This window comes from Homo sapiens, chromosome 11, assembly GCF_000001405.40.
Source record: "Homo sapiens chromosome 11, GRCh38.p14 Primary Assembly".
Taxonomy (NCBI): Eukaryota; Metazoa; Chordata; class Mammalia; order Primates; family Hominidae; genus Homo; species Homo sapiens.
Window position 1 is genome coordinate 77889132 of NC_000011.10, and position 19588 is coordinate 77908719.

The 19588-nt window shown below is 40.1% G+C and overlaps 2 protein-coding genes across 13 annotated transcripts in view; one reads left to right on the forward strand and one right to left on the reverse strand.

Moving 5' to 3' along the window:
- The window catches only part of AAMDC (adipogenesis associated Mth938 domain containing), an 84881-nt gene extending 67988 nt beyond the window's left edge, over positions 1–16893 (forward strand). For all 9 annotated transcript variants that reach the window (NR_171642.1, NR_171640.1, NR_171643.1 and 6 more), the window contains one exon: positions 11440–16893. Coding sequence is in view for 5 of the 9 variants with exons in the window: in NM_001316957.3 (NP_001303886.1) it covers positions 11440–11555 (116 nt within the window). In the remaining 4 variants the exon portion in view is untranslated. The remainder of the gene's footprint in view (positions 1–11439) is intronic.
- INTS4 (integrator complex subunit 4) overlaps positions 1–19588 on the reverse strand; it is a 120307-nt gene that overhangs the window by 14770 nt on the left and 85949 nt on the right. For 2 of the 4 annotated variants that reach the window (XM_017018560.3, NM_033547.4), the window contains exons 16-21: positions 18586–18679; positions 14409–14489; positions 12290–12420; positions 5159–5218; positions 2550–2709; positions 2188–2331 (exon numbers count right to left, since the gene is read on the reverse strand). In XM_017018560.3, the coding sequence (XP_016874049.1) occupies positions 2188–2331; positions 2550–2709; positions 5159–5218; positions 12290–12420; positions 14409–14489; positions 18586–18679 (670 nt within the window). Of the gene's footprint in view, positions 1–2187; positions 2332–2549; positions 2710–5158; positions 5219–12289; positions 12421–14408; positions 14490–18585; positions 18680–19588 lie in introns of those variants that run through there. The other 2 variants (XR_001748036.3, XR_002957208.2) reach the window with 2 other exon arrangements.

The window sequence follows — 19588 nt, forward strand, 5'->3', positions numbered from 1 at the left end:
TTATTGCGGCACCACTCACAATAGCAAAGACTTGGAACCAACCCAAATGTCCAACAACGATAGACTGGATTAAGAAAATGTGGCACATATACATCATGGAATACTATGCAGCCATAAAAAATGATGAAACTAGAAACCATCATTCTCAGCAAACTATCACAAGGACAAAAAACCAAACACCGCATGTTCTCACTCATAGGTGGGAACTGAACAATGAGAACACATGGACACAGGAAGGGGAACATCACACCCCGGGGACTGTTGTGGGGTAGGGGGAGGGGGGAGGGATAGCATTTGGAGATATACCTAATGCTAGATGACGAGTTAATGGGTGCAGCACACCAGCATGGCACATGTATACAGATGTAACTAACCTGCACATTGTGCACATGTACCCTAAAACTTAAAGTATAATAATAATAAAATAAAATAAAATGTTAATGAATGGAGTTCTGCAGGGTTTGCTTTAAAGAACAGATCTACAGTATTTTAATGGGGAATGTAATCTCAGTGTCATCTCTGAGGCATGTTTACTGCTATATCTCTATTGAGCACCTGAAGTAGTGCCTGGAACAGAGGAATGACTCCGGGTGTGGTGACAGGACTGGATGGCACTTTCAAACCACTGGACCTGTCCCACGATGGGGCAGTGAGTTTCCTGTCCCTCTACCTATAAGGTATCTAAAAGGTTTAGCCTTGCGTGTGGTAGAGGTGCTATGAAGGGGGTTTTTTAGGAGACAGTCTAGGAGATGACCCTTAAGTAACCTGCCTACAATCTCCTTTACGCTCAGGTGATCAGTGAAGTTTTTTTCAGGGACAATGTAAAACAGTAGTTCTGCTAGTATCACTGACTACGTATTAGAATCACCTATGAACTCTTAAACACTAGTGTCCATAGGCCCTATTCTCAGGATTTTGATTTAATTAATGTAGGCTGACACCTATTCATCTGTTCTTCTTAATGCTTTCTGAGTAATCCTAAAGTGCAGTGAAGGTGGACAACCACTAATGTGGAAAAAAACAAACAAACAAACAAAACACTCCAATATGCAATACAACTTCACAGCTAGCTCAGAACTAGTTCTCTGCAGGTCTCATAATTTTTAATAATTCCTGCTTGGAAGCCAGAAGGCCTGTTCCTCTATTGTCACCATAGCCAAAAAGCATAATCTTCAAGGCCTGATTCATCCTTACCTCCTCCAGGAAGTCTTCTCTGCCTGTTCCAGCCTATTTTTCTGTCCCCTTATTGTACTTCCTGCCAGTGCTTGCATCCCTGCTTTGACTCATATCCCTTTGGCCCTTCTCTCATATCCCTTGTGCCCTTCTCCTTTCCTTTCCTGAGCCTCCACCACACTCCAAATTGAATACTCTAAAAGGTTTAGCCCTGCATGTGGTAGAGGTGCTTTGAAAGGGTTTTTTAGGAGACAGTCTAGGAGATGACCCATCCTGTGCATGTCTACTCACCAAACCCTGTTTTATAATTGCCTGCCCATTTGTATGTCTCTCAATGAAACTGTGCACACCCCGAGAGGAAGAACTGTGACATATTTACCTTGGCAACCACAGCACTTAGTGCATGCAATAGAGTAAACACGATTGCACAGATGGATGGAAGGAAGGATGAATGAGTGGACAGATGGATGAATGAAGTAGTAGTACTCTTTGTGGGGCTTAATTGCACTGTCTGAATTGATTAGTGTCTCTACTACATTTCTCATGTGTCTCTATTACATCTATGTAACTTGGGAAAGAATATTTCCTAGTAATTGCTTTTTCCCAACCATAAATTTTATCTGCCAGCCGACTGACTCATAGCCTGAAAGGAACTTGTTTATTACAGTTTTCTGTAACAAAAGACCAAATCTTAACGTCACATTACAAGATTAGAAAAGGTCTTATCATTTAGTGAACCCTTACTGGGTCCTGGGGGCTTTAAATACATTATCTCTTTATGTCAACTCCTCCTATTTGTCAGTTGTAGAATCTGAGACTCAGAGTTTAAAGTAACTTGCTCCAAACCACACTCAGCAGTAGTTGAGATTCAAGCCTAGGTTCTTTCCCACAGAGGCTCATTTCTTCTCCTGTCCCAGTTTCTGTCCCTCAAGTAGAGACTACAGGGGTGCTAACATTAAATACTTCAACACAATGTCAGTCTAGAAGCTCCATGAGGACCCAAACCCGACAGACCTGGACCTTAACAGTGTTCTGAGGATCCTGCACATGCTCCAGGGTTGCATCAACATCCAGGGCAACCACCAACCCAGAGGTAAACCGCAAAGGGTTGTCTGACTCGCCCGCTGGCTCGATGATGGTGGCTGAGGCTTTGTGGATCTGTAAGCAAGAGGAAAATCCTATGATTTTAAAGCCAGGTCATTCCTGGATGAGAAAACGCATCTTTTTTCTGTCTCCTTATCTAATGAGTGGGCATGTGGGAGCCACTCAGAGGAACAGCCTAGCCCAGCTGCTCCACTGGTCAAAGAAGATCACCAAGGTAAAGATTTTTGACCGTCTGGACAGATTTGGCCTACAGGGGCCAAATAGACCCTGACCTGCTCTGGAAGCGGGAGATGCAGAAAGGCACTCTGTCGCAGCATGGTCTGTAGAATTTTGACCACTTCTGCAGGTTTGGATGTCATGAGTCGGGGCATAAGGTCAAGGAGTTTGTCCACAAAGCTGTCCTGCAAGTGGGGCAAATCAGCGATGAAATACCTGGAGGAACAAACAGAAGCAACTGACTCATTCAACTGTGCACTCATTCACCACAGGCTGGGCCCCAGACACCTATCAAACCCTGAAGTAGGAAGAATGATGAAGTGAGAGGAGCTTGCAGTTTACGACCAAGATAGACTGGTACCTATACAATCATGCCTCAGTCACATGATCATCAGAAAGGCCTCTGTTTATTGATAACCATTATGTGCCAGGCATACTCTTAAGTGTTTTACATGATCTTATTTAACTTCCAGCAATCCTATGCATCATTAGAATTTTTATTTTCGTATTATAGATTCATTAATTATTTTAACAAATACATTTTTAAGACCTACGAAGCGCCAAGCACTATTTTAGGTTCTGGAAACACAGTGAACGGAAGAGAAAAAAACGATTGCTTCAATGGAGCTTACATTCAAGTGGCAGAAACACTGAGACTCAGAGGGGATGATGCCTCACTGAGGCTCAGAAAAGTTAAGTACGTTACTCCTGGCTCAGACTGATCCAATTTTGTGCCTTGTGCCAGTGGATAGTCAAAAAATATCTCACTGAGGAGGTGATATCTGTGCAGGAACTCAAAGGATGAATTAAGAACATCAGATGAAGAACTTTGGGGATTCAGAGCTCTCATCTTCCCAAAAATCTTTTCAACCCAACTGTGCAAAAACAGACTCTCTACTTTAAAGAAACTAAAGCAAAAGTAAGGCATGAACTTATTTCAGATTCAAAACTAGAATTTTTTTTTAATTTTCTTTTTGAGAAGGAGTCTCGCACTATTGCCCGGGCTGGTGTGCAATGGCGTGATCTCGGCTCACTGGAACCTCCGCCTCCCGGGTTCAAGCAATTCTCCTGCCTCAGCCTCCCGAGTAGCTGGGACTACAGCTGCCCACCACCACGCCCTACTAATTTTTTGTATTTTTTAGTAGAGACAGGGTGTCACTATATTGGCCAGGCTGGTCTCGAACTCCTGACCTCGTGATCCACCCGCCTCAGCCTCCCAAAGTGCTGGGATTACAGGCGTGAGCCACCGTGCCCAGCCTCAAAACTAGGATCTTAAAAAGCCAAGCTAGATGGTAAGTTTGCTAGAGAGTATTACCTGCTGGTGAAGGTAGTGTTGCAACTCAGCCCTGTAAGAAGCTATCATCACCCCAGTGACAAGTACAGAGTCATAAAAACCTCAGGTTTGGTGAACTTCATGAGGGCAGGGACAATGAGCGGAAGAAATGAAACAGACTTCATCAGTGCTTTAAGATCCTATGTCTTCTCCCAGTATTATTCTGCCAGCATACCAGAAGTCTGGTCACTCCCTCGACTCCTATTTCTTCATCAAGCTTTCCATTCAACTACTGCATGTGCTTTAACGGATTCATTCCATATAAAACTCTGAAAAAATACATGTATTCTACAAAATAAAATTTACCTACAGAATTACAAAACAATTGTAGATTATAGAGAAATATGCAAGTGTAAGAACAGTGTGGGCCTGGTGCAGTAGTTCACACCTGTAATCCCAATACTTTGGGAGGCAGAGGCAGGAGGATCTCTTGAAGCCAGAAGTTTGAGACCAGCCTGAGCAACACAGCAAGACCCCATCTCTAAAAAAAATATATTAAAAATTATCCAGGCATGGTGGCACATGCCTGTAGTCCTAGCTACTCAGGAGTCTGAAGTGGGATGATAGCTTTAGCCCACGAGTTCAAGGGTGCAGTGAGCTGTGCCAGTCTGGGTGACAGAGTGAGACCCTGTCTCAAAAAATAATAATGAGGTCAGACACGGCGGTGGCTCACGCCTGTAATCCCAGCACTTTGGGAGGCCAAGGCAGGCAGATCACTTGAGGTCAGGAGTTAGAGACCAGCCTGGCCAACATGATGAAACCCCGTCTCTACTAAAAATACAAAAATTAGCCAGGTGTGGTGGCAGGCACCTGTAGTGCCAACTACTTGGGAGGCTGAGGCAGAAGAATCACTTGAACCCAGGAGGCGGAGGCTGCAGTGAGCCAAGACTGCACCACTGTACTCCAGCCTGGGTGACAGAGCAAGACTCTGTCTTAAATAAATAAATAAATAAATAAATAAATAAATAAGAATGGTGTGAACGAACAGTGTTGAAAAAAACAGATGACTAATGATTTTTTTCAACAAACGTATTTACACGTTTTCTTCATATTACTTGTCTTTTTATGGCCTAGCTGAGTGCTAAATGCAAGTGATTCCTGGTAGGTTTAGTTTTGAAGCTCCAACTTCAAAGAAGTTTCTATAACATTAAGGAAAAAAACCAAATTAGGTTCTTTTTTTCCTAATTTAAGGTTAACGACATGGCCACAGATGATAGCTTGGCTGCACAAGCTAAACCAAGGAATGTGATTTGTGATTGTTCCTATTGCCTGCAAGTGCTATACTCCATGTAACCAAGATTTAATAAGCCAGAAGAGTTATAAAATACTTACCTCTGAAAAAAGTCTACTTCCTGTAAAAATTTTTCACACATCCCAAATAAGGGGTCAAGTCTGTAGAAAAGAAATGTAAAATAATTTGCTTGTGAAATCTGCAAACTGAGGAGGACCAAAAGTCCCAGAAACCTGAGCCTAAATTAAAGGAAAATTAGCATATTATACTATAAAAATGATCTCTAAAAGTAACAGAAGACTCCTAATGGACCTGGGGGAAACACCTGTCGGGATCCCAAGACCTGATTAAACCACTGCAGTGCCCATTAAGCTCAAAGAATATTAAAAATCAAAGAGTATCACAGGCTACACTTGGCACTAGACTCACTACGAATACAGGAGAGAAGCATAGCATGTGGGCAGTACAGTGTCAAGTTCCCCTTCTGCAGGAGTCCTTGCTTCATTAGCATCTCAGCTAGTATGGTCTCTATACCTACCTGATTTAGATCTCATCTCCTTGCACATGAGCTGTCAGCATTGGGATGAAAGCTCCCAGATAGCTGTGTGGACTGCTGCAAGATCTATCCAGTTTCAAGAATCACTGCACTCAATGAAGCCTACAGCCATTGTATCGGCATCTGGAAACTAGTTCATTTATATTTCCTTCTGGTCTACATGCAATTTACTCAGAGATCATTTTTTCCATAGCGGTATAGCCTACTAATGTAGTTGATACTGTAAGGGCTCCAAGAAACATACCTAAAAAGTTAACTAAATTCCTGTGCAAGAGGGGAAAAGGTTTTGTTACTATTTTGGCGACAGACATAGATGGTGTTCCTTCCTCTCTATCTTGAATTACTTGGCCTCACAGTACTTGAGAACATTTCATTTCACTAAAAAGTTATTGCATACCTAAATAATCCAGGCAACATGCTAGGTCAGTATGACTTACTAAGTTTTGACCTTTGCATATTTTCTTCCTATTTCTTGTATGTAATTTCTGCATGAAATTTCCCACTTGTTTTCTTTAATATATTATTCATTGGAGGAATAAAGTTCCCACCAAGATAAAACAAATACTCTTTCCTTATGTAAAAATATTTAAGAGAATGATGTCAAGGTTTAGTCTTTTTATTAAAATATAGTCTCCATGAGTAGACTTTGTATTCTTCATCATATATTTCCTAGCACAGGCAGCAGTCAATAAGTATTTGCTGAATGAACAAAAAATGGGGCCGGGGGTAGATGGCAAATGGAAACCTACTCTGGAAGCAACATTCATTCTAATTCTTTTCCTGAAAAAAAAAAAAAAAAAAAAAAAAAAAAAAGTAGCACTTGAAAGTTTTTAAACTAATCTTCTACCAGAAATGGAAGTGAAATTTCATAGTGAGGTTACCCACCAAACACCACAAGGAGTGAGAGGGCTAGAAGGGAGAATTCCAGCCAAGCAAGGGCACAAAGGAAAGCAATTTGGCCAAGCAGTGACATTTCCTCATTTGTTTGCCTGATTATATAGAGAATCATCTTGGAGAGACTCCAGGAAGTAAAATACAAAAAGATTTGGGAACTCTCCCCAAACGTCAAAAAAGAGCAGGCATCCTCATCAACAGGCCATATACATGAAGTAGGCCTCTAAGAACTCCTACTTTTCCTTTGGTGTGAGGGAAGGAAAGCTATGAAAGTGAGGCTCACTCGGGGGCTAACAATCATTAAAGAATACAAATTACCAATTTAAACTAGTCTAGACTTTCATTGTAAGTAGGCAAAGACAATGGAAAATGACTAGGTGTTATAAACGACAATCAGGAGCTGTAAAGGAGACCAAGCAGTCCTCAAAAAGAGTTAAGTCAAGGCAAGAAAGCACAGAAAACTTTTTTAAAAATTCTAATCAACAACCTCGGTGAGAGTTAACAGGGGATTTAAAAGGATATTACATTGACAAAGCAAGAGAAACTGCTACAGAAACAGCAGATGACAAGAAGAGAAACTATACAGAAAAAAAAGGAAAAAAATAGTAGAGAAGCACACTTGGAAATAAAACACATAATAATGAAATCAAACTCAACGGTTCAGAACAGTGGAATCAACAACAATGTAAACTGAAATGATAAACTAAAAAAAGCATATTAAAGAATTTACTGGCCAGGCACAGTGGCTCACGCCTGTAATTCCAACACTTTGGGAGGCTGAGGCAGGCGGATCACCGGAGGTCAGAAGTTCAAGACCAGCCTGACCAAACATGGAGAAACCCTGTCTCTACTAAAAATACAAAATTAGCCGGGTACAGTGGCGCATGCCTGTAATCCCAGCTACTTGGGAGGTTGAGGCAGGAGAATCTCTTGAACCCGGGAGGTGGAGGTTGTGGGGAGCTGAGTTTGTGCCATTACACTCCAGCCTGGGCATCAAGAGCAAAACTCCGTCTCAAAAAAAAAAAAAAAAAGAATTTACTCAGAATACAGAATAGAAAAACAAAGAAATTGAAATTACAAAAGAAAAGGTATAGGAAAAATAGATCCAGAAAATCCAACATTTAGTATAACAGACTAGAGTGTATAGAAGAAGTAAAGAAATAATGGAGGAAAAAAAAAAATCCCTGAGCCAAAAACAGCTGATACTTCAAACTCCCACCGAAGATCAGCAAGAATATTGAAAGAAAACACATACCTAGACATATCCTGGTGAAATTAAAAACAGAAAGAAAATTTTAAAGGTTTGAGCATGAAAAATAAGCTGTAGGGAAGAGAACCAGACTGACATAAAACATTCAACTGTAACATTAAATACTAAAAGGGAACATAGCAGAGGCAGAGAGTCTCTATGAACCTATTCTGGTGTGGCGGGGGTTGCCCAATAAAATAAATAAATAAAGGCACCATAGCAATATGGAAATAATTGGAAAAGAATTCCATTTATGTATGAGAGCAAAGGAATTTAAAAGGCGACAGAGAACAGTGGTGGCAAAGTTGGAGCTAAACTTATAAAGATTATAAGTGGTGGCTCACGTCTGTAATCCTAGCACTTTGGGAGGCCGAGGTGGAAGGACACTTTGAGTTCAGGAGTTCAAGACTGGCCTGGACAACGCAGTGAAACCATGTTTCTATTATTTTTAAAAATAAAAAATATTTTATAAAAAAATTAAAAATAAAAATAAAGAAGGATATACAAGGATTATGTACTTATAACTTTAAAAGATTATATTTATAAACATAAAAATTAATAGAAGCTACATTATAAAAACATAATCAGCTGAAACAAACCTCCAAGTTATTATTATTATTATTTTTTTTTTGAGACAGAGTCTCACTCTGTCACCCAGGCTGGAGTGCAGTGGTGGGATCTCAGCTCACTGCAAGCTCCACCTCCTGGGTTCATGCCATTCTCCTGCCTCAGCCTCCCGAGTAGCTGGGATTACAGGCACCTGCCACCACGCCCGGCTAATTTTTTTTTTTTTATTTTTAGTAGAGACGGGGTTTCACCATGTTAGCCAGGATGGTCTCAATCTCCTGACCTCGTGATCCACCCGATTCGGCCTCCCAAAGTGCTGGGGTTACAGGCGTTAGCCACCGCACCCAGCCATATTATTGTTATTATTTTTAAGACATAGGGTCTTGTTCTGTTGCCCAAGTTGGAGTGCAATAGCATGATCATAGCTCATTGCAGCCTTGAACTCCTGGGCTCAAGGGATCCTCCCACCTCAGCCTCCCAAGTAACTAGGACCACAGGTGCACACCACCCATGTCCAGCTAATTTTTGATTTTTATTTTTTAGAGACAGGGTCTCATTATGTTGCTTAGGCTGGGGTCAAACTCCTGGCTGGACTCAAGCGATCCTCCTGCTTTGGCCTCCCAAAGTCTGGGATTACAGGCATGAGCCACTGCATCTACCCCAAATTGTTATTATTATTTTTTGCTCAGTAAGAGGCCTTAACTGGCCTAAATTATTATTATTATTTGAGACAGAGTTTCACTCTGTCACCCAGGCTGGAGTGCAGTGGTGCGATCTCGGCTCACTGCAACCTCTGCCTCCTGGGTTCAAGCAATTTTCTGCCTCAGCCTCCCGAGTAGCTGGGATTACAGATGCCCACAACCATGCCTGGCTAATTTTTTGTATTTTTAGTAGAGATGGGGTTTCACCATCTTGGCCAGGCTGGTCTTGAACTCCTGACCTCGTGATCCACCTGTCTTGGACTCCCAAAGTGATGGGATTACAGGCGTGAGCCACTGCGCCCGGCCAACTGGCCCAAATTACTTAAGCAGTAAGAGACAAACAAAAGCATACTAAAATCTTCATCTTCATCTTAGATCATGTTTATCTATTAGATCACCTTGATCTTAGAGAGGTGACCATAAATTCTGTTTAACTTTTTATGCTGATAAATATAAGTTCAATATGTTCATTAAAAATATAAGTAATAACAGTATTACTAAAACTAATATTAGTTAACATGTATCAAGTATTTATAATGGATGTGACAGACACTATTTTAAAGGCTTTGCATACAATAATCCAGCCAGGCACGGTAGCTCACGCCTGGAATCCCAGCACTTTGGGAGGCCAAGGCAGGTGGATCACTTGAGGCCAGGAGTTTGAGACCAGCATGGCCAACATGGTAAAACCCCATCTCTCCTAAAAATAAAAAAATTAGCTGAGTGTGGTGACATGTGCCTGTAGTCCCAGCTACTTGGGAGGCTGAGGCATGAGAGTTGCTTGGACCCGGGAACCAGAGGTTGCAGTGAGTTGAGATCGTGCCACTGCACTCCAGCCTGGGTGATAGAGCAAGACTCTGTCTCATAAATAAATAAATAAAATAAATAAATGGTTTTGCATATAATAATTCAATAACCCTTACAATAACCCTGTGAGGAAGAGATAGGTACTACTATTATCTCAGTTTAACTTATGGGAACAAACTGAGGCCAAGAATTGTTAAGTAACTTGTCCAAGGGTTACTCAGTTTGCAAATGGTAAAGTCAAGATGTGAACCCAAGCAATGTGGCACCACAGCCCTCTTAACCAGTATGTTCTACTGCCTCTCACTTGAAGAGTTTAGAATTAGGGTGCATAACTTTCAAACCCCTGGAGGAAAAAAGAAAACAATCTAGCAAAACCTAAGAAAGAAAAAAAAGAAAAAAGCAGGAATGCATACAAATGAAAAATATAGGCTGGGCTCGGTGGCTCACGCCTGTAATCCTAGCACTCTGGGAGGCCGAGTCGGGTGGATCACCTGAGTTCAGGAGTTCGAGACCAGCCTGGCTAACATGGTGAAACCCGTCTCTACTGAAAATACAAAATTAGCCGGGCATGGTGTTGCATGCCTGTAATCCCAGCTACTTGGGAGGCTGAGGCAGGAGAATCGCTTGAACCCAGGAGGCAGAGGTTGCAGTGAGCTGAGATCGGACCACTGCACTCCAGCCTGGGCAACAAGAGCGAGACTTTGTCTAAAAGAAAAAAAAAAGAAAAATATAAAATATTATAGCATGAGTAAAGACCTAAAAACATTAGTATCTTTATATAATGACATGACAAGATAAGCATATTATAATGCTCGGTGAAAGGAATAGGAGGCAGAACAGCAAAGTATGGTATGATCCCCTTTATGTTATTGTACACATCTTTATAATCTATGTTTATATGGTTTGGGAAAATCTGGAAGTATACACATGAAATGCTGGCAGCTGTTTTCAAAGTGGTAGATTACCAGAGAACCTTCACTTACCCTGTAATATTTTAATTTTTCTAACAATTATATATAAACTAAAAAAAATCTTTTTTAAAAAACAGTATAGATGCCATCACAAGCACCTTTGTTTTTTCAGCTATAACTGGCACATAGTAGGGATTAAACATTTGTTAAATGAATATATGAATATCTTTTTTTTTTTTATATAAAGATGGAGTCTTGCTCTGTTGCCCAGGCTGGAGTGCAGTGGTGTGATTTCGGCCCACTGCAACCTCCACCTCCCAGGTTCTAAAGATTCTCCTGCCTCAGCCTCCCGAGTAGCTGGGACTACTGGTGCATGCCACCATGCCCGGCTAATTTTATGTATTTTTAGTAGAGACAGGGTTTCACCATGTTAGCCAGGATGCTCTTGATCTCCTGACCTCGTGATCTGCCCACCTTGGCCTCCCAAAGTGCTGGGATTACAGGTGTGAGCCACCACACCCGGCCACATATGAATATCTTTAAGATTAAATGATTCTTTGACTTTATGAGGTCACTATCAAGATACGTGAAGAAATAAAATATTTTATTTTTCAGGATGTTATTTCTGACCTAGTATGTTTCTGTGTTTAAGCATTCATATTTATATCTCTATGGCACTTTTTTTTTTTTGACACAGGAGCTGGACTGAGCATCAAACATGTCTGTGAGCTGGCAATGAGTCACCTAAGTACTTTTTTGTATCAAATCTATGATGCCATCATTCTTAAGATGCACCTTTATTTTATGAAATAGTAAGAAACAAAAAACACTATGGGACACCATCAAAATATCTGATTTCAGAGAAGTTACAATAATAAAAAATGTGTATCTTGGAATCAATGAAATGTGGCAATTCCAGTTATCTGAAAGTCTTACAGATATAATTACACTGAGCTCTTATTACGTATCAAGTACCATGCTAAGTGTTTTTACATGTATTATCTCATTTATTCTTCATAGAAATGCCATGAGGTAGATGCTGTCTTCATTTTCATTTTGTACAGGGAAACAAGGTACAGAAAGGTTCATAACCAAACAACTAGTAAGTAGAAAAGACAAGATTTGAACAAAGTAGTCTGACTTCCCAGTACATCCTCTTAATTTATCCTTATTGCCTGAGAAAAAGCTTATTAGTCCCTTCAGAACAGAAAAAGTGGTCCCTGGCACTAAATTCTTAAGGAAATCTATCAAGTAGGAGGATACAGAGTGTCCTTATTGCCAGATAAAGTCCAGTGTTGTGCTATATGTAATGGAGAGTCACCAGAGGGTTTTTAGCAAGGGAGAGACACAATTGGATTTCCAAGGGTCTAATCTGATCCAACAACAGAATTTGTAATATCTGAAAAAAATGAATAGATCACACATTCCTTAGCTAGTCTTTCCTAAATTTCATTTCACTTATCATTAACTTTCGTGTGATGTCTGAATGCATTTGAAGTATCTTTGAAAGGAACATGCCACATATTTTGGCCAACCCCACATCTTACCCTCGTGTAGTTCGTGCTGTTACTATAAGTTGCAAAGCTTTGGCCTGCAGCCTCATGTGATGTATAATCACCACCTGCTTATTCTCCACACCACTGTACATGAATTCCATTTTGTAGGTCTCTTCCATAATCTATAAAGGAAAGATAATTAACAATCAATAAAAATATCATAGTCTTACTTGAGAGCAGCATAGAATTCTACTGTTAAATGACCTTAGGTGAAACTCTTAACTGAGATTTTACATCCTTATGCTTTTAAGTGTTGAAAGAAATTAGTATAGTATGCCTTGTAAAAAGAGAATAAATTATTTTGCCTACTTAAAAAGAAGACTGACCTGGTAATAAAATCATCTTAGTTGATGATGTGAAGATAAGAAAGTTTAATCACTAAGCAAACTGCAAAGCACTGAAAGCACTGCTTCTTACCCTAAATGAAGCCCACTCTGCTGTGGGAACAAATTAATATATATTATGTATGGAAACCCAATCCCCACAAAGTCCTCAAGAATTAAGCATCAGGAACTATTAACCATATGTTAGTTATCCTGACAGACTGTTCCATGGGCCTGGTCTGAGGGAGTTTGGGACAGAAATAAGTGCAAGAAAACATTTGTCTATGACCCCAGATCAAGTCCCCGATCTTGCTCGGTTCTATCCAAATAAGCGATTTTCATCAAAATGATGCTTCTCTTTTCCTTCTGTGCTTGCCTCCCAGTGAACACTCTAGGGTCACGGAAATGACTCCAGACTCTCTTACAATTGGCAATAAGACAAGTTAAATTACATGAGTGTCTCAATCCCTTTCTGTAAACAGGGAAGAAACAGTACCAATATCATGAAGTTTCAAGTATCAAATGGAGCATGCAATGTGTTTATCACAGTATCTGGTATACAGCAATGGTAATTCCTTTCCTCTTTTCCTTCCAAATTATTGCTCCCTGGTCCCATCCTTCCAATGTGGCTCAATTATCGGGTTCTAGTCATTAAATTCTACTCTTCTACAATAAGCCACATACCAGGTCTGAGAAAGAGTCTGGATCAGACAAGAGTTCAGCACTGTAGTAGAAAACAGATTCTGGGTATCAGAGGATCTGGTCTCAAGTCCTGACTGTATTACCTATAGCTCTATGAATTTAACCTTGCTGAGCCTTAACTGCCTCATCTCTAAAACAGACTTAATACTTATTCCTATCTAATGGGATTATTATGAGGGTTAATTAAGCTAATAGACTTGAAATCATTTAGTGAACTGTAATGTAACAATAACAGTCACCATCATTAGCTTCCTCCTGGGTCATTTACAGACTCCCTATCTGGAAGACTTGACCTGCAAGAGATCACCAAGTCTCAATACTCAGGTGCAAAGGGGAATGACTCAAAGCTAAAAAGAAATAAACTAGAGACAAATAAAATTAAAGCCTACTTAATGAACTACCCAGGACCTTTTAACGTTGAAGAGATGGTACAGGCTAAAGATATAAACAACCTTAACTGAGTTGGGCTACATTTTCAGATGAAAGATTCATGATAGTAGAGACAGCGTTTCACCATGTTGGCCAGGCCGGTCTCAAACTCCTAACCTTAAGTGATGTGCCCATCTCAGCCTCCCAAAGTGCTGGGATTACAGGTGTGAGCCACCGCGCCCGGCCCAACTGCCACATTTTATAGAAGAGAAAAAATCCAGGGAATTTAAGTAACTTGCTCAATATCACTCAGCAAATCAGAGGAAGACCTGGGACTAGGACCCAGGTCCCCTGAGTCCAAAGTGAGTGCTGTGTCTCCTAGTTATGCTCCTTCTCATATCACTAACTTCTGTCATAGCCTGAAATTAGGGAGGCCACAGCAGAGGTATAGAGCTACAGGAAGGCCTCTGGCTCCGCCTTGGACCAGACAATTCCTGGACAGAGACCTATTTGAAGGGAAGGTCTGAATAAGCTTACCTGTGTTGCTGCTGCTGAGGCCAAATCACTCTGCTTCAAATACAAAGGGGCAGCTACATGCCACAACTTTTCCTGCAAGGCCTACACAGACAGAGCTATAGGAAGGCCTCTGGCTCTGTCTTGGACCAGACAATTACTGGACAGAGACCTATTTGAAGGGAAGGTCTGAATAAGCTTACCTGTTTCGCTGCTGCTGAGGCCAAATCACTCTGCTTCAAATACAAAGGGGCAGCTACATTCCACAACTTTTCCTGCAAGGCCTACGCAGACAAATCAGGAGGGAACAGAATACCGAGGTCACAAAGACTGGCCTATCATTTGGGATTTACATTTTTGTTTTCCTTTGAAAGTCTCCCATGAACATGACTTCTCAATTGATCTTATTCTTTTAACCCAATAAGCTGTATCTATTATGGAGAAAGATGAGACCAATGGTTTGGGCTAAATGAATTCCCACCCATTTGATCCAATTCTTGGCCCAAAGGCTCTGTGTCCCAGATCAGTGCTTCTGGAAGCAGAGGACAGGAACCACGAAAGCTTCACCAGAATGCGCAGGCAAGCCAGCTTCCGGGCTCTAGGCACTCCTTGTTCCCAGAGCTACTGGACTAACCCAAGCCACCTAGATACTTCTTCCTTAACTGTGGTTCTTTTTTCTTTTCCCCTATGCTCATTATGTTGTAAGCCCCAACCACTTTATCAACATATTCAACTAGAAATCAAGCAGCTTTCCTAGATTTCTCCCTCTTTCAATCTTTCTACATTCAAAACCACCACTAAGAGCCATGATTTTACCTTCCATCTCTCTCCTCACCTATCCATCCACATGACCTCATCCCTTGCACAAACTTCTGTGACAGCCTCTTATTTTCTCAGTCCTTCTGAATTACAGATGTAATCAAATGACATTACAGAAAACCTAGACTAACACTGTCCAATAGAAATATAACATGAGCTATATATAATTTTAAATATTCTCGTAGCCACGGTTTTTAAATTACAAAGATGTAAGTTAATTTTAAGATACAAAGACTAAGTTAATTTTTTAAAAAAGTTTATTTAACCCAGTATATCCAAGATATTAACATTTCACCATGCAGTATTTTTTAAATTATTAATTAGTTTACATTTTCTCTTCATACTAAGTCTGAGAAATCCAGTGTGTATTTTGCACTTAATAACACATCTCAGTTTGGACTAACAACTTTTTGAGTGCTCAAGAGTCCCATGTATCTGGTGGCTATCAAATTAAACAGTGGTAGGTCTAAACTGTAGATAAAAACTATAGGAATTTCTGGAATATTTACTTCTAATCATTTCTTGTATGCATGTTTTTTGACAGTTGTAGTCAGAAAGCAGAATTAAGTTTGGGGATTAGATCATAATCCCAAAACATACAATCCCAAATGTTGAAATCCTCACATCCAAATTCTGGGGAAGTGATTAGCGTGTTTTGGGTTGTATGCAGGATAGTTGCATCATGTTAGTTGTATCATGTTAGGCACAACTATTACCATGTTATTGTCTTTATTTGGAAATTAAATATGGCTTAAGGAGATGCGTATGAGTGCCAAGCTGACAAGGGGTGGACTTGTGGACCTAATTTTAGATATCAGCTTGACTAGATTAAGGAATATCAGAAACCTGGTAAAAGATTATTTTGTTTTACACATTGAGGGTGTGTCTATGAGAGTGTTTCCAGAAGAGATTAGTGTATAAATCTGAGTGTACTAAGTGGAGACTATCTGCCCTCAATGTTGGCGGGCACCATCCAATCAGCCAGTGGCCAGGAGAGAACAAATACTTAAGACGAAATGGGCTGGGAGTGGTGGCTCATGCCTGTAATCCTAGCACTTTGGAAGGCCGAGGTGGGTGGATGACCTGAGGTCAGGAGATGGAGACCAGCCTGACCAACATGGCAAAACCCTGTCTCTACTAAAAATACAAAAATTAGCCAGGCGTGGTGGTGCACACCTGTAATCCCAGCTACTTGGGAGACTGAGACAGGAGAATTGCTTGAACCCAAGAGGCAGAGGTTGCAGCAGTGAGCCGAGATCACGCCACTGTATTCAGCCTGGATGATAAGCTGAGACTCTGTCTCAAAAAAAAAAAAAAGGCAATATAGCAAAACGGACTCTCTGGGTTCTGCTGCTTGGATATCAGAAATCTGACTCCATGAAAGTGCATCATCACAATACTGACTTTGTGTATAAGCATTGAGTGTGTACACAAAATGTTGAAACTTCCTCGATAAATGAGATATCCTTTTCGTACATCTGCATTTGTGAAAGATAAAATTTCTTGAGATCTCAGCTCTTTGGGTGACTGCATATGCAGTGGTGACCCAGCACAGTTTCCATCAATCTCGTCAAAAGACTTGAGGTTGTTGGGCACAGTATTTCAGATGACCACAGTTAAAAAGCTGGGTATACACAATTAACAACCAAAGTGATATGCATTTATACCTTTCCCTTTATGACCAATTTCTTTATAAATATGGCTCATCTGCTCATAACTGTTAGACCCACCCAACTGTCATTAGTAACCTGAGTGTTTATGCTTGCAAAAATGTATGTTGTTATTGTCTGTTTTATTATATTAAGTGATGTATAAAGTATTCTGTTGTGTTTTTATGTTTCTCAAATAAATTCCCCTTTAAAAAATAAATATCTTTAAATTTTTTAAATTATTTCTTCCATAATTATATTTTGGGGATTTTGATATTTTCTGGGCTGTGGTTTTTGGGATTTTAGACCTTAGGGATTTTAGTCTTTTGGAATTTAAACAGTTTAGGACTATGATGTTCTGGACTATCTTTTGGGATTATGATTGGCTCCCCTTCTTTTGGGTACATAACATTACACCCTAAATATTTTGTCATGTTGTTGTATAATTCTTCATAAAGAATTACTGACTACAGAATATACTGCTAGGTAGCTGTACCAAAATTTATTTAGCTTTTTTCCTGTTATTAAACACACTTGCCTTGGGTTCTGGCTCTGGGCCCCTCACCTACACTGTCACCCCTTGTCATTGAATAACCAACAATTATGTGTTCTTTTTAGGAGTAATCACTTCTCTTTCCTCACCCATATTTTGCTACTATAGAAAAGTGGATTCTTCTCCATGGCCTCCTTGAATTCCTGGGGTTTCACAGAGGCTTGGAAAAGCCAAACAACCTTGCAAAGGGGCAGGAAGGAACTTCTTGGAGTGATGAAAATGTTCTACGACTTGCCTATGGTGGTGATTACACAGATATATACATTAGAAAGAACATATCTAGCCTAACAAGGACCATTTAAGTGCCAAGTATACATACGCACCTTTACATGTATAGGCACACCTGCACAACTGTAAATATAACATTTAGCACAAGTTCACACAGTAGAAAATAACTTTTGACTCCCTGATTTACTCTGACTTTAGCCAAACATCATTAATCACTTTGAAAACAAAGAACACTTTGAACTAGGGCCAAGATAAAAGTTCGTCAAGTGAGAAGGGCTCTCCTAAATTCTGTGCCAAAATTTATAGTAAAATTCTGCTACAGAAGCTGAAAGATACTGAACTCATTTAATTGTTTTTTAACTCAGCAAAACTAAATAGATTCTTGGGTACCAATTCTGTGTATAGCTGACTACTGAGTAAGAAACGCCAGCAAGCTGGTCTTTTTAAAAGCAATGAAATCAACCTTTTAACTTTGATGAAGTGCAGTGAGTTTTTTTGTTTGTTTGTTTGTTTGTTTTCTTTAAAGACAGGATCTTGGTCTGTCATCCAGGCTGGAGTGCAATCTCACTGCAGCCTTGACCTCCTAGGCTCAAGCAGTCCTCCCAACTCCAGCCGAGTAGCTGGATATACAGGAATGCACCACCACACCTGCCTACTTTAAATTTTCTTGTAGAGATGAGGTGTCGCTATGTTGCCCAGGCTGGTCTCAAACTCTTGAGCTCAAGCGATCCTCCTGCCTTGGCCTGCCAAAGTGCTAAGATTACAGGTGTGAGCCACCGCACCTGGCCTTCAAATGAGCATTTTAAGAAGATAGTCTAAAACTTCATACAATTCCTTTGCTAATCAAATTATACAAAACATTTACAACCTTGGGATTCTAACTAAAATGATTATCCAATCTGCTCTAATTATATTATGATAAAAGAATTCTCCCCAAATTTACAAATTCCTATGAGTTAATATTTCGTTAATTAGAGACAAATGTAATCACACTGCAGAGTACATATTTCTCCATTGTCAAGTGGTTGCATTAAGACCATAAGTTTTATAACTTATGGCCTCACACACTGCTGGATCCACAAAGATGCATTTTTAGCAACACAATCATAAATGGAATGGATGCAAACCAACCTTGATGAGAAGTAGTTGACAGCGAAGATAGGTGGCAGAGAAATCAGCTACTCCTGCCAATTCAGATTGAAGTTCTCCAAGTCTTTGCAGATCCCTATAGTAAATAAAACCCCCAAGGCAAACACAGGATAAGGATAATGCCACCAACATAAAGATCATGTCAAAAGCATTTTATCATTTTATACCTAGTAAACAGTCATACATTTTTAAATGACGACACTGAATGCTGGAGTGGTTATAATAAAATTGGTTCACTCACACTGTGATAGTAGTTTAAGCTGATGTAACCCTTTTGGAAAGCAAAACCGTACTGTTATAAAGGCACATATATGGTAAAATGTTTGATTCATAGCTTTACACTGAAAAGTATACTAAGAGAAATATTCAACAGAAATGAAATGCTTTATGGGTCATAATATTCATTGTTATGTGGACTATTATAGTAAAAACTCAGTAGCTACTTATTCAATGGTGAAAAAAATATTGAGTAAATTATGATGCATCCAATCAAGTAAATTTTTTTTTATTATACTTTAAGTTCTGGGGTACATGTGCAGAACGTGCAGGTTTGTTACATAGGTATACACGCGTCATGATGGTTTGCTGCATCCATCTTTTTTTTTTTTTTTTGAGGTGGAGTCTCGCTCTGTTGCCCAGACTGGAGTACAGTGGCGTGATCTCGACTCACTGCAACCTCTGTCTCCTGGGTTCAAGCGATTCTCCTGCCTTAGCCTCCTGACTAGCTGGGATTGCAGACGCACACCAGCACACCCAGCTAATTTTTGTATTTTTAGTAGAGACAGGGTTTCACCATGTTGGCCAGGCTGGTCTCAAGCTCCTGACCTCGTGATCTGCCTGCCTCGGCCTCTCATAGTGCTGGGATTACAGGCGTGAGCCACCGCCCCCGGCCCAAGTAAATATTTTGTAGCCATTAAAATATGGAATGGTTAATAAGGTGTATGATCTCAACTATGTAAAAACTATATAGAGGAGAAAAATACAT